Source organism: Homo sapiens, chromosome 12 (assembly GCF_000001405.40).
Source record: "Homo sapiens chromosome 12, GRCh38.p14 Primary Assembly".
In the NCBI taxonomy this organism is placed as follows: Eukaryota; Metazoa; Chordata; class Mammalia; order Primates; family Hominidae; genus Homo; species Homo sapiens.
This window is the reverse complement of record NC_000012.12, coordinates 75,652,997-75,667,545: the sequence shown is the minus strand read 5'-3', so window position 1 is coordinate 75,667,545 and position 14,549 is coordinate 75,652,997. Positions and strand designations below refer to the sequence as shown.

The 14,549-nt window shown below is 39.7% G+C and overlaps 1 long non-coding RNA gene across 4 annotated transcripts in view; it reads left to right on the top strand.

The window, feature by feature from the left end:
* LOC105369844 (uncharacterized) overlaps nt 1–14,549 on the top strand; it is a 310,508-nt gene that overhangs the window by 167,223 nt on the left and 128,736 nt on the right. For 3 of the 4 annotated variants that reach the window (XR_007063375.1, XR_007063376.1, XR_007063377.1), the window contains 2 exons: nt 3,740–3,826; nt 8,371–8,502. The exons of the other annotated variant lie outside the window; for it this stretch is intronic. This is a non-coding gene — a long non-coding RNA (uncharacterized LOC105369844). The remainder of the gene's footprint in view (nt 1–3,739; nt 3,827–8,370; nt 8,503–14,549) is intronic. 4 annotated transcript variants of the gene reach the window in all.

Sequence of the window (14,549 nt, the reverse complement as noted above, 5' to 3'; positions counted from 1 at the left end):
AGAGGTGATCAAGGTTTGAAGTAGAACCAATAGAATTTGTTGACTGATTGGATATGGGCTGTAAGAGAAAGATGATGTTACTATTATCTGAGATGGGAAAGACTTTGGGAGGAGCTGGTTCAGCAGGGGGAAAGATCAGTAATTTAGTTTTGGATATGCTAAGTTTGAGATGCCTATTGAACATTGAAATTGAGATGTCAAGTGGGAGGTTAGCACTATAGAGTTCAGGAGAGAGGTTGTGTTCTGAAAATATAGATTTGGGAGTCATCAGTATGTGGATAGTACCTAAGAAATCAATAACTGAATGAAGACAGAGAAGAGAAGGTCCTAGGGCTGAGCTCTGCAGCTCCACAGTGATGAGAAGGCCTCTTTCATCTGGAATGCTGCATCCTGTTTCACTGATTCTTTGGCAGAGCTACAAACCTTTTTTCTCCAGAATAGGACTCACCGCCTACTCAATCTGCTGAAGGGAGGCACTTTATCCTAGAAAAGCAGAAACAAAGTATGGTGAGAAGCAGCCTGATGTGTAATCCTTAACCGAGGGGATCTGTAAACACCTTTCTAAACTAAATTATGCAGAGTTTCTGTGAGATTTCTGTAGATCAGCATCAGGGTCTGGGGGCCCCTACAGGATGGTTGAAATGGAAATGAGCCCCGATCCGTCTTTTGGGGTCAAAGGGGTCATCCTGTCAGCTGAACTCCTTCCTCTTCACTTTTCACTGGTAGAATTTCAGAAAACTAAAAATTGTAGATAATAAAAAGGTTTAAAAGTAGCAATAAAACAATAAAAAAGAACAGTTAAATAAAGATAAAATGATACAAGAAACTAGGTTACATAAATGAACCCAACCCCTCCCTGCCACCAAAAAAAAAAAAAAAAAAAAAAAAAAAAGCAGAAGGCAGCAAGCAAACCATGAGGTAAGAACAACTAAGATAAAGGAAAATCTGAAACTAAAGGTCAGAGAGAATAAAAGAATAATCCAAACAAGCTAAAGTGATAGAAAAGAGAGTAAACAATGATTTCAAAGTCCAGGAGGTTAACTAGTCAATATTGACTAAATTAAAAATCAGTAGCACAAGTTCCAAAGATCAACTGAGAGAGTCTCTTTAGCTAAGGCCCAAAAGCCGCAAATAAGTTTTTTCTTCTGTGGCCTGGGATCCACGGGCAGCTGTCCCCTCAGCAGGTTAGGGGCCTGACTTTCACTCCGCACCTCTTCTCTCTGATTCTGGTATCTTCTCTCCTGGGTTCAGTTGCAGACAGGCTCCTGAGTCTCTACCACAGGAATGTCTGTGCTAGCCATCTTTCTCAGCTGTGACTCTACCCTCTGGCTGTTACTGATAGAGGAGAGGGAAGCACTTGGCCCAAGTTGGATCAATCAGAGTCTCTTTTTTGAAATCTGGATTTGTTATCAAGACTCACTCATTTAGGGATGGCCTCTTTAATCATAATATTAAATAATTAATATTTGTTGAAGATTTATGTGGTGAACATTGATCTTTATATGTGTTTTCCAACTAAATTTTTAAGAACCTTATGAAATCAGTATTATTATTGAAGAGGAAACTGAGGCCCAAGAGGTTAAATGACTTTCCCAGTGTCACACAGCCTGTAGATGGTAGAATTAGGATTTAAACTCACCTCTGTCTGACTCTGGAGCCTGTTCTTAGCCTCATGTAATAGTGCCTCTTTTGAAGAAAGGAGATATAAACTTGGAAACTGTGGGATCACTGTCTTTTGTCCACCACGTGAACAGAGAGCAAAGAATGAATTGACGTTTAAATATATAGAGGAGCTGCAATGGACTGAATGTTTATGTCCTCCTAAAATTCATATGTTAAAATCGTAACCTCAAGATGATGTTATTTGAAGGTGGGGCCTCTGGGATATGATTATGTCATTACAGTGGAGCCCTCCCTAATGGGATAAGTGCCCTTATAAAAGGGACCCCAGAGAAACCCCTTGTCCCTTACCCCATGTGAAATTACAGCTATCTATGAAAAAGGGAGTGCTCACCAGACATCAAATCTGCAATGCCTTGACCTGGGATTCTTAACCTCCAGAACTGTGAGAAATAAATTACTGTTGTTTATAAGCCACCCAGTCTGTGGTATTTTGTCATAGCAGCCTGAATGGACTAAGATAGCAATCAAGATGAGAAAGGGAAATTCCTAAGCTTCTCCTTTGAGTTTGGGCTCCGTTTCTACTACCACGCATTGTGAGCCACCCCTGCTTTTCCATAATATATTCCTTCCCACATTTTTTTTTTTTTTTGAGATGGAGTTTTGCTCTTGTTGCCCAGGCTGGAGTGCAATGACATGATCTTGGCTCACTGCAACCTCTGACTCCTGGGTTCAAGCGATTCTCCTGCCTCAGCCTCGCAAGTAGCTGAGATTACAGGCATGTGTCACCATGCCTGGCTAATTTTGTATTTTTAACAGAGACAGGCTTTGTGCATGTTGGTCAAGCTGATCTCAAACTCCCGACCTCAGGTGATCCACCCGCCTCAGCCTCCCAAAGTGCTGGGAATACAGGCATAAGCCACCACACCTGGTATTTCCCCTTTTTGTTTTAAACTAATTCAGTTATATTTCTGGAACTTGCAACCACGAATCCTAACTAGTATTGATGTGAGTTATGGAGGACCTCAAAGCTCCAAGCTTCCCTTATAAGCCAGGCTTCTTTTGATTGCTAAAAAATAGTGGCCTCTTGGATTTGGCTCTCGATCTTTTTTCTCTGCTACCCACTTTCTAAACTGTAGCTTCTTTGAGTACAAGGATAATTAATAGGTCTTTTTTGTGCTCCTAAAACACTAGATGTTTTGCAAATGCTAGGTCTCAATAAATTCTTGTTTAGATAAGTTAATTCATATGATTATGTATTTCCTTACACAAACGTGACACCTTCCTAAAGTAAACTTGGGAATGATTAAAAGGCTATCTTTCTAGAATGAAAAGGTCACATGTTACATGATTTTATTTATATAAAATATCCAGAATAGGTACATCTATAGAGACTGAAAACAAACATTTGCCAGGGACTGGAGAGAGGGGAGAATGGAGGAACTGCACAATGGGTCCAGGGTTGTATTTCGAGGTAACGAAGATGTTTTGCAACTATATAGAGGTCATGATTATACAACACGTGAATGTAATAAATCGGTCTGAATTGTTCAGTTTATAATGGTTGATTTTTGTTATGTGAATTTCATCTCAATTATAAAAATATTAACAAATTTCTATTTTCTGAAAAAAAAGTTACCTTCCATGTAGGTGGTAATCATCTGGGCTTGAGCTTATTGGTTTGAGGATGGTAGGTCAATTCTGGGCATGGGAGCAGGGCACTCCCTGACCATTGTCATGTTACAATGATTCCTTCATCTGAAATATAGGAGTCAGAGAACTCTTCACAAGAAGAGCATGGCACAGCAAGGCTTACTTTGTTCTATTCCCACAAGATAATCTATGTGAATTATAACCAAGGATTCGAAGAGAATGAGGCTGTTCTTACAGGATTCGTGAAGTCTCTAGAAGTTTTATGGGTTTGCTATTTTGTAATATCTCTATTGGCTAGTCAAAGCACACCTCATAGTTCCCTAAGTGGGAAAGGAAATATACATGTTTTTGTCACCACTGGAAATCATCCGAGATATAAAATGGGAGGTAAGTTGACGTCAAGGAAGGATCCAATTGTGTGTTCAATGCTTGAAAATGGCAATCTTCTGTCTATTGGCCCTTCTAGGATGAAGATAGCCCGAAAACTTGCCTGGAAGTTTAACAACAACAGAGGAGAGCTCCTTTATCATCAAAAGCCAAGAAAGCAATGCAGGTGATGACTTAATGTCATCTTACATAAAATATAAAGAGACTTTCTAGGAAAACCCTACTTTTGGATGCTTGTCTCTTAGAGTTCTAAACTTTTCACCCATTTAATTATAATAGGAATTATTTATTACTTTTTGAAACTTATGTGGAAAAAGGACCATCCCTGATTTGGGGACCAAAATTCTCCTACAGTTATTCCCTTGTTAGTGTTCTTGGAAATTCCTTATTTACAAAGTTCAGGTGGCTTCTAATTTCTGGCCAAGCTCAGATTTATGAAAGAAAATAATCAAGATGAAGCATAGATTCTTAGAAATAGAAAGCATGCAACTTCCTTCTTTTTGGGAAAGGATCCAGAAAATGAGGTTCAGAGAGGTTGACAGGCTTTTGCTGGAGCAGAAGAGAAATAATGGCCAGAAATGTCCACTTTGTGGGTCTTGATGCCACAATGCCCTAGTAGATCATGGAGCCCAGAACTTGGGTCTCTTGGTACTAGATTTTTTTTGCCTGTTTTAATTGGGAGGAAATGAAAATATTTGAGAGGCTTAATGTCATCTTTACTATTTTAAAAAGCACAGTTTTGTGCCCACAATTCAACAATATTCATCAGATCATAGACCCAAGGAGCTTTGAAATCGTTTCAGTGTTCACCCTGCCCAATGCTTTGTCTGTAATATCACTTCTCACATGCTGTTTCTTCTAAGAGGTTGTCTGGTCTCTGCTTTAACCTTTGGAGGGACAGGAAACTCATCACCTCTTGAAGTAACACATTTTATTTGCATGTGTTTGTGTTTATATTCTCTCTCTCTTTGTTTCTGTTTCTCTCTATAGAGTGCCTATATTTCATAGTCTGCTTATGCACATATTTCATAGTCTGCTTTTTTGCAATTGACATCCCACACATACTTTTCATATTGATACAAAGTCTTAATATGGTTGATATGGTTTGGCTTTGTCCCCACCCCAAATCTCATCTTGTGGGAGGAACCCAGTAGGGGGTAATTGAATCCTGGGAGCAGGTCTTTCCTGTGCTATTCTTGTGATAGTGAATAAGTCTCATGAGATCTGATGGTTTTAAAAAGGGGAGTTTTTCTGCAGAAGCCTTCTTCTCTTGCTTGCCATCATGTGAGACATGCCTTTCACCTTCTGCCATGATTGTGAGGCTTTCTCAGCCACGTGGAACTGTGAGTTCTCCATTAAACCTCTTTCCTTTGTAAATTGCCCAGGCTTGGGTATGTCTGTATTAGCAGTGTGAAAATGGACGAATACAGTGGTAATTGCAAGTGGCTTCATATACGATATAATTTCCCTAATAAAAATTTATGCAAACATGACTTAAAAGTTTTTACTATTATAAGTAGAATTCAATACTATTTTGGTTTGGGAAAGTTTGGTTATTAGATCATAAAGAATTTAAGATTTAACTTTTACTCTTTGGCTTTAAATGTATACTCCAGAGTAACATTGAATAAATCAAATCTGTCTTCCACCAGACAGTTCTTTTCAGTGTTTTTAAAAAAGCTATCATGTTCCTCTTAAAATGTGTCTCTTCCAAGGTAAACATCCTCAGCTCTTTCCATCATTCCTTACAAGTTGTGGTTTCCAGACCCTTCACAAGATTGTTTGTTCTCCTCTGGATGGGCTCCAATTTGTCAAAGTTCTTTGTAAAATATGGTGCCAGAATTAATTACTGTAAGAACAATAACCGTAATAATAATAACCACCATTTATTGACTGCACACAATGTTCCAGGAACTGTGCTATAGACTTAGCTCTTTTAATCCTCACAAAACCCTCTAATATTGTATGTTATTATCTTTATATTTTTAGACAAGAAAACCAGTTTTAATACGTCAGCTGACTTATCCAAGGTCACACAGAAAGGAAGTGGCAAAGCTAGGATTAAAACATGCTCTGTGTTCTGAACCATTTTATAATGCTACAGAATTTCCTGGCTATGCAAAATTTAGGGCTGAGATATTAAATTTATGTGAGAATACCTTAAGATTTCATTATCTTGTCAAATGCTTTTCATACTTATGAAAAGTATGATAGAGCCCAGTTCTTCCAAACCAATTTATCCATTTGTCAAATATTTATTGAGTGTCTACTTCATGCCAGGCACAATTTTAGGAGGTAACAATATTGAGAGATGCAAAGTAGACAAGGTTCCTTCTTTCATAGGGCTGGCATTCTGTTGAGAGAGAAAAACATTCTGGAAATAAACAAACAAATAAATAAAGATGGTAATTTCAGATAGTGATAAAGTGATATAAAGAAAGTAAGACAAAGTAATGTGCTAGAAAGTGTCAGTGTTAGGTTATCAGGGAGAGACAACGTGAGATTTGGTGACCAAGGGAGACCTCTTGGAGGAGGTGACCTCTGGTCTTAGACTGAAATGGTGAGAAGGAACCAATCATGTAAAGATCTTGGGGAAGAACATCTAAGTCTCAGGGAATGGAAAGGGCAAAGTTTCTGGCACCAGAATAAGCTTAGTGAGCTCAAGAAACCAAAAGCCATATATGGCTAAAAGTAGAGTAAGTGATAGAAGAGGGGAGAAGGATAACTTCAGAGATACAAGCAGGGAAAGATCACTTGAGGTCCTGTAGTCCATGGCAAGAATTTTGGATTTGTTTTTAAGTGTAGTGGGAACCCTATGCCATGTTTTATGCAGGCAAGTGGACTGGTCCAAGTAATCTTTTAGAAAGATGACATCGCTACAGTGTAGAGAAAGGATTATAAAAGGCAAGGATGAAAGCAGGGGAATGAGTCAGGAGGCTATGGCAATGGTCTGGTTAGAAATGATGGTGGGTCTGATCAGGTGGCAGCTGATCTATTTGTGACTCATATCAATGGGAAGAAATGGATACGTTCAGAAAAACTGAAAGAAAGGTGGACAGAATTCCTGGTAAATTGAATGGAGTGCGGTGAGAGAGAAAGAAATTGATTTAACACTAGATTTAGAGGTTAGTAAATGTGCTGTATGTAATGTGTGCTAGGTATAGTATATACAGGCCATTTACATATATTAAGTGATTTAGTTCTCACAAGACTCCTATGATGTAGCTAGTATTCCTCCCAACTTGTCTCTGACAAAGAAACCAAGATTTAGAGACGCTTAATAACTTGCCTTAGGTTACGTAAGTAGTAAATCGGGAAGCCAAGATTTGAACCCAGGTGTGCCTGATATCAAAAGCAGTGCACATTTTTGTGTGACACAGCATTACCCCTGGAGCTCTGATAAAGATTGCATCTTGCCTATAAGGCAAGACAGAATTAGAGTCCCACAGCAAAACGTCTATTGAGTCACATGTGAGGACACGTTCCATCATCAAGGGGCTTGATTGATGTTGCCTGGCTTCTCTCTGGTTCCTTGAAGGACTATGTTTCAGTTCTGGAACCTCATGTTTAAGGGACGTAAGCACTTTGGGTGGAGTCAGAAGTAAATGAAATGATTAAGCCGATAGAGAAAATGACTTCTGAGAAATGATTAAAAGATTGCAGCTTAGCTCAGTGATGACTAAAGAGGACATCAGCCTATAAATATTTCAGGGGTGGAAATAGCAGGAAGGGGGGATTTTTCTGTAGAAAGGAGAAAGAAATTGCATGAAGGGACAGGCAGAGAATACAGTTCAGTTCCTGAGTCTGCTCTTTATGATGTTGGTGGCTTATCATGACTTTGAGTCTAAATTTTCTCATCTCAAAAAAAATGAGTTATGATTAAATGAAAAACAGTATCTCACTAGAAAGACATCAAAATCCCCATAAAACATTCTTTCATGCTTTTAACATTCATTTGATAAATACTTATTGACATGTACTTTGCATAAGATGCACAAAAGGGGAGGATTTGGGGCCAAAATGTGGATGTCCATTTGAACATTCTTGTTTTATAATAAAATATACATATTTTTATGAGACAAATATTATAAGGACAATTCCTTCACAACAATTGTCTAGCTGGAATCAGAATTATTCATGCACTGAAACATATCAGCTATTGTCATGTTCTGGAGTCTGGAGAGAGAGAAAGGGTAATGCTCGTACCATGCATCCCTATTGCCTGAATACTGCTATACTCTAAAGAACGGGGAGGCTTAAGTTTCAAACACAGGCTAGTGATTTCCTTGCATTTGCCACAATGTGTGTTTGTCTGGACATTTGTTAGTGAAATAAGAGAACACACTGCTTGATAACACAGGGACAACTGTCCAATACATTGGGTGCATTATCTTTCCATATACTATGAAAATTATATCTATCAAGCTGCAAAGTCAGAAAGCCTTGGTTTATCAGCTACATCCGGGCCGCACACAAAAGGTAAAGCCACTGAGGGAAAGCCTTCTTGAAAAGCACACCTGTCCTTTTCAGACATTTTTGAAGTATCATATTTGTTTTCAGATGATTTTGGCCTTCCGCCCTTGATTCTTTAGCTGGGTTGGGAGGCTGTCCTGTGGCCTGAAGGTTAAAGAGAAATACGAGTGAATGTGTCATCTTAATGGGCTTTGAATGCACTCCCAAATGACATGTTTTTTTCTTTTTTCTTTTCAGTCTTGCTTATAAAAGTTACACCTGCAAAAATGGGACTGAATCCAGTGAGGAAGGACATAACATTTTGCCTGAATGTGCAAAATATGAGTGGGGTGTTGTCTGTATCCCTGCAGGCTCCGAGCAGCCTAGTGGGTAAATGAGCGTTTGTTTCCTGTGCACCATCTTTGAGTTGAAAATGAGTCACACACTCGTGGAAAGAATAGTACTATCTTCTTTTGTCTAGCTCTGCATGCTTTTGTGGTTACTGAATTTGTCTTAATGGGAAGCTTGATTGTTTCTCTTTTTGAGGCAAACCATTAGAATTTATTTTTAATCTGGAATAAGATTACTTTAAATATATTATTCTCGATTCATAACTGGATTCACAGCCAGTGTATACAATTACAGAAAATTTATATGGGGCAAAAAAAAAAAAAAAATCTCTCAGGTTTATGTAGTCATCTGGAAGCATAAACCGATTCCTAAATGTTTAAACTAATTTACTTTGAAAATGATGATAATAACTGTAATTTGTTGAATGTCTACTTTGTACCAGCCACTATGCTATGCATTTTTAATAGATTATTCCTAATCCATATAACATGCCCAAAATGCAGGTATCAATAACCCCTTTTTATAGCAAAGGAGAGCAAGGGTCAGAGAGATTAAGTAACTTGCCAGAAGGCATAGAGCTGATCAGTGAGGGAACTTGTATTCATCTCCATTTATGTCTAACCTCAGGGCCTGGGCTCCCTCCATTATGACATCCTACCTCTCTGCAAAGAGCATTTGATGACAAATTTGCCTCAATTCTTATTACAAAGAGGTAGGTCATAAAGTAAAAAGACCAACAATAATTTCCTTTTATCTTTGTAAGAAATTGATTTCATAGGCTGGAAAATACTTTTAGTCTTCCCTGGATGTGCAAAGAGGCTCAGATACATTTGGATACTGGAGTAGTTTCCACGACTCAGGGGACCCTGATTCTAGTTTTATTTTATCCAGCTCTGCATAGCCTCGATTTTGAGACTCCCAGGTCCCAGATATCTGAGGATTCTGAGGCATACACTTATGAATTCTTACTCCATTACTGTGTTCTTCAAGAGATGGAGGGATAGCTTATGGCTCAGGCTTGCACAAGGATTTCCAGACTAATGGAAGAAGGAACAAAGACACCAGAGCAGATACATTTAATGAAAAAAGTAAAAACAGATAAATTTATCATAAGGAAAACATCTGAAAAGTGTCAGCAGAGGCTGTGGTATCTGAAATTATTGCTGGACTATCTGCAATGATAAATCATTATTTCAGATAATCTGACTGAATTGCTGGCATGCTAGGGCCCCAAACTAAGAGTCACAGCTTCAATTATGAAAGTCATTTTCAGACATTTTATGAATGAGGATTTCCTTTTGAAAACCAGAGGGGAATCAAGAGGGGCTCACTTCTAAGAAATTTACCATTTAAATTCTAGATTTTCATTGAGTCTCATTTATTTATTTATTTATTTATTTATTTACTTTCTTTCTTACTTACTTTGAGACAAAGTATCACTCTGTCGCCCAGGCCGGCGTGCAGTGATGCAATCTTGGCTCACTGCAACCTCTGCCTCCCAGGTTCAAGCTATTCTCCTGCCCCACCCTCCCAAATAGTTGAGATTACAGGCATGCGCTACCATGCCCAGCTAATTTTTTTTCAGGGGTGGGGTTTCACCATTTTGGCCAGGCTGGTGTTGAACTCCTGACCTCAAGTGATCCACCTGCCTTGGCCTCCCAAAGTGCTGGGATTACGGGCATGAGCCACTGTGCCCGACCCACTGAGTCTTATTTTTGCCTTTCTTTCTGCTCTATGGGCTGTTTCATGTTCACACAAGGGGCTTGTGGAGCCACCGAGGACCTGGGGCAAATGCCTGTTTGTAGAATTGTGGAAGAGCAGCATCTCCAGTCTGAGTATATCATACATCTCTGATTTTGATTGGTACATTATGGATATTAATTTGGATTACAGACATTTTTATTAACTAATTATAGAACATTAAAGGAAAAGAAAACCACATTTGATAGTCGAGGCAAATTTCTCAAAGAAAGTTGTTCATGACCATATCATACTGCAGCAAGCTATGCCTGATGTGTACATTACCTAGCAATTTGGCTTTCTCACATCTATCACCCCTGTGTTACTCCAGATGCAAATTGGAGAGAACTTCCATTTACCTGTTCTTCTATTTTCACAACTTGGCATTCACTTGCCCTGGCTCCCATGTCTGATTAAGGAGCAGACACCAGGCGAGCACAGCAAGCTGATGCAATGGGTAGAGCTGCTGCTCACCAGGAAATGAAAGAATTCCTTTCCATAACTGTCAGACAAGGGAAGGGAAGGGCCATGCTCAGCTGGTCCTAGCCCATTCCTGTGTGGTGGGTCACACCCTTCTTGCAGATGGCAAGGCCTACTCTCTTCCTCATCTGCCACATCTACCTTTTCTTCAGAGACACTTCTCAAGATACTTGTGTAGTTTTCATTGGCTACACCAGCCTTCTCTGATCTTTGACTTCCCTGGTTTCTCCAGCATGTTTTGCCAGGTTCTGTTCTCCATGAACACCTACCTGATCACTTTGAAGGTTGTCTCAGTTAGAATGCATCCAGTTACCATATCAGAAAACACAAATTAAACTGGCTTATGCCATAAAGAAGATTTGTTGGCTCACATAACTGGAAATTCAGAAGTGTATAGGTGTCAGGATTGGTTTGATCCAGTCACAAAATTGCATCACCAAGGACTTGGTTTCTGTCCTTTTCTCTGATACTCAGTGGTGAGTGATGCAGCTTTGTGCCAAAGCTGCTATGCTTTTGTCCCAACATGGCTGCCAACAACTCCCAGGTCTACACCCACTGCCTGAAAAACCTGTTACTATTTGACCCAAAACCTCAGGCAAATGCTCCCTCCTGCCTTGCAGCCCAAATATTTGTCTTGGGCCAGATGGTAAAAATACTCTGATTTTTTAGGCCCTAAGAGCATGCTTTATGTGTGGAGCCAGCCTGGAGTCAGCATCCCCTGTCCTCTTGGTTTGCCTCCATGGACAAAAACGTAGGTAAGATAGTGGGTCTGGGTGTTGGCAAGTCAACCTCAAGGTCCATTTAGTTAGTCAAGTGTAATCATTTGCCTATCCTACCCTGCAGGTTCAAAACTCTCCATCTCTAGGATTAATTTCAGCCCTGTTGGGATATATTAGAAGATGTGTCTTTACATTAAGTTTGGGTCTAGTTGAAAGTGGTTTGATTTCTGTTGCCACATACTGATTCTCATACAGGGATCTGCTTCCTGGTGACACTCATCCCTCATCTCCTTATCTGGGTTTCTTAGACTTCTCTATGACATGACTCTGATAACTCCCTGCCCACTACCTGGATCTCCTGGAGGGCTGGGGGATCGAGTTTAAAATACAAGAGTCAGTTCCTCTTCCACTTTTCGCTTCCAACACTTGCTAGGGGAGGCCTCTGACTTGGTCTTCAGAGATCATTGAAGATCATTGAAGATCTCTGAAGACCAAGGCAAAGGCCACCCCTAGCCTTTTGTCTTTTATCTTCTCTTTTTGCCAGTGAACTCCACCTCTCTGGTACCAATGTGGTTCCTGCTTTTATACCACACCACCGCAGTTTATCTCTGTGCCACCCCTCACCATCCCTACTTTTCATCTTTGCATCTTTCTTTTCTCAGCTTCATTTTTCTATTTCCTTTTCTGTCCTCATTGCCTTATAGATGCCTCTTTCAAAGCAAAAACCACTTTGAAAAACCATTTCCCTTCTGGTCGGCCACTGACTCATTTGAAACTCTTAAACCCCTACTGTATGCAGAACACATGTACTTGATACATATTGAGGATGAAGAAGCAGTTTGTGCAAAGAGTTACAATATAGAGATATAAAAGCATATAAGAGCTGTAGAAGAAAAAGGGGTTACATCTCACAAGGGGTGCTATGGGGAAGGCACAAAAGGTCAAGAATAACCCAACTTATTTGTGGTTTTGGGACTTTTCAGGGTGCTTGGCAATGTTGATGGAAAGATAACTGAAATTTTAGTTCATATAATGCCCTATGTGTCCCAAATTATTTCTTGGACATCTAATTTCTTTAACTGTATTGTATTGTAACTTCATTAAGGGCAGAGACAATTCTGTCAAATCAACCCCACTTTACTCCTAAGGAGCACATGTGTTTAAAGGCAGCTCAGTGCCTCATCAATAAAAAGTTTGCATCAAATGCTTATTGAACAAAAGAATAAATAATCCATGACCTGAGCGGAAGTTCATATAGCCTCTATTGAAAAAAATTCTATTTTTAGAGATTCACAGAAATTCAGGAGTGAAAAATACCTTAAGAGTTATTTGGTCTAGTAATTCCCAAATCTGGAGATATATTATAACTGAATAGGGGTGTGTTGGGATGGGTTGTTTTTAGAATGTAGACCCCTGACCTCTTCCCCAGACCAACTGAATTAGAATCTGTGTGTTTCGTGAACTAGAATCTGTGTGTTTTGGAAACTGTGGTCTAGCATTTACCAGGCCCTGCTGCTTCTGCTGGGCTGTCAGGTTTTGGGCCCACAAATGAAGTCTGACTTCATCTAGTGTCTGACAATTCGTTTTTTTCTCCATGAGATTGTAATAATAACACCTTTGCAAACAGGATATGCTGTCTAGGTGTCCCCGAGTCTCCAGCAATCTGGGATTATCTTTGATCTTAGTGGCTAAGGGAGGTGACTTGTGCCCCCTCCTCACATTTATGTGAGTGCCTGAAGGGAGTGGTGTTTGTCTGACTCTTCCTATGCTTGAAACTTTTCCTTCTAACTCTCCAAGCTCTAATTATCCCTCCAGTTTGCAGGGCTGTCCTCTTTCTCCCATTCTGCCCCTCACTGCTAACAAAAAATCACTAGAAAGGGTGCTTATAAAAGTTTGGGGAAAATTATCTAACAAATATGTATTGAGGATCATTCTGTGCCAGGCAATGAGCAGACAATAAATGTAAGCGCTTCACAATCCAAAAACAAAACAAAGCAAACAAACATGATCCTTACCATCACAAAGTGTAGAGTCATTGGCTGATGCAGATATTATTAACCCAATAGTTACTGAAAATATGTATAAAACCTCAGCTGATGCAGATGAAGCATCCAGAGTTGTTATAAAGGGGAGATACATGGTGCAATAAAAATAATAGTAAGAATTGACTTATTTGGCACTTAAGAAATGGCTTCCTCAAAGAAGTGATAACTAACATGAAAGCTATCTACAGGAATAGCACGTGAAAAGTTTTGTGACAGGGAGGGTGGGAACTAAAAAGAGACTAGTATGATGTACCTCAGAGAGAAAGTAGGAATGTGGTACGGTTGGGCCTGGTGAGGAGGATGAGCCTGCAAAAGAGACAGGAAAGACTGGAGGCAATTTGAGATGGGATAGCTGCACGAGAGCCAAGCAGGGAGAGAATTCAAGGAGGAGCTGATCAATAAGCCAAATGCTTGAGGGTCAAATAAATAAAGTGAGCCCTGAATAATTCCTATTGGATTTAGCGTCTTCAGGTCATTAATAGCCTACATAGCCAGGGCTGTTTTTGATGGTGTGGTGGAGATGAAAGTCAGATTGAAGTAAGTTGTGAGATGAATGTGTAGGGAGAACATGGAAAAAGAAAAAATAACATAGTGCTTTTGAGATCCTTAACTATGAAGGAGAGGAGGAAGATAAAGGGATGGCAGGGAAAGAGTGAAGTTGAAGGAACTTTTTAAAGATTGGAGTGTTTTTTGTTTTTTGAGATGAAGTATCACTCTGTCACCCAGGCTGGGGTGCAGTGGCATGATCTTGGCTCAGTGCAACCTCCATCTCCCAGGTTCAAGTGATTCTCCTGCCTCAGCCTCTGAGTAGCTGGGACTACAGGTGCGTACCACCATGCCTGGCTAATTTTTTGTATTTTTAGTAGAGATGGGGTTTCACCGTATTAGCCAGGATGTTCTCAATCTCCTGACCTCATGATCTGCCTGCCTTGGCCTCCCAAATTGCTTAGCTCCTATTTGAAAGTTAATAGAAAGGACCCAAATGGGAAATGTTAAATACACAAAAAGGAGGAATAGTCAGCACTAAAATTACTGCAATAGCAGAGCAGATGGAAGGGTTGGCTTTAGAGAGCAAGCAAACAGCATCTTCACTGTAAAGTAG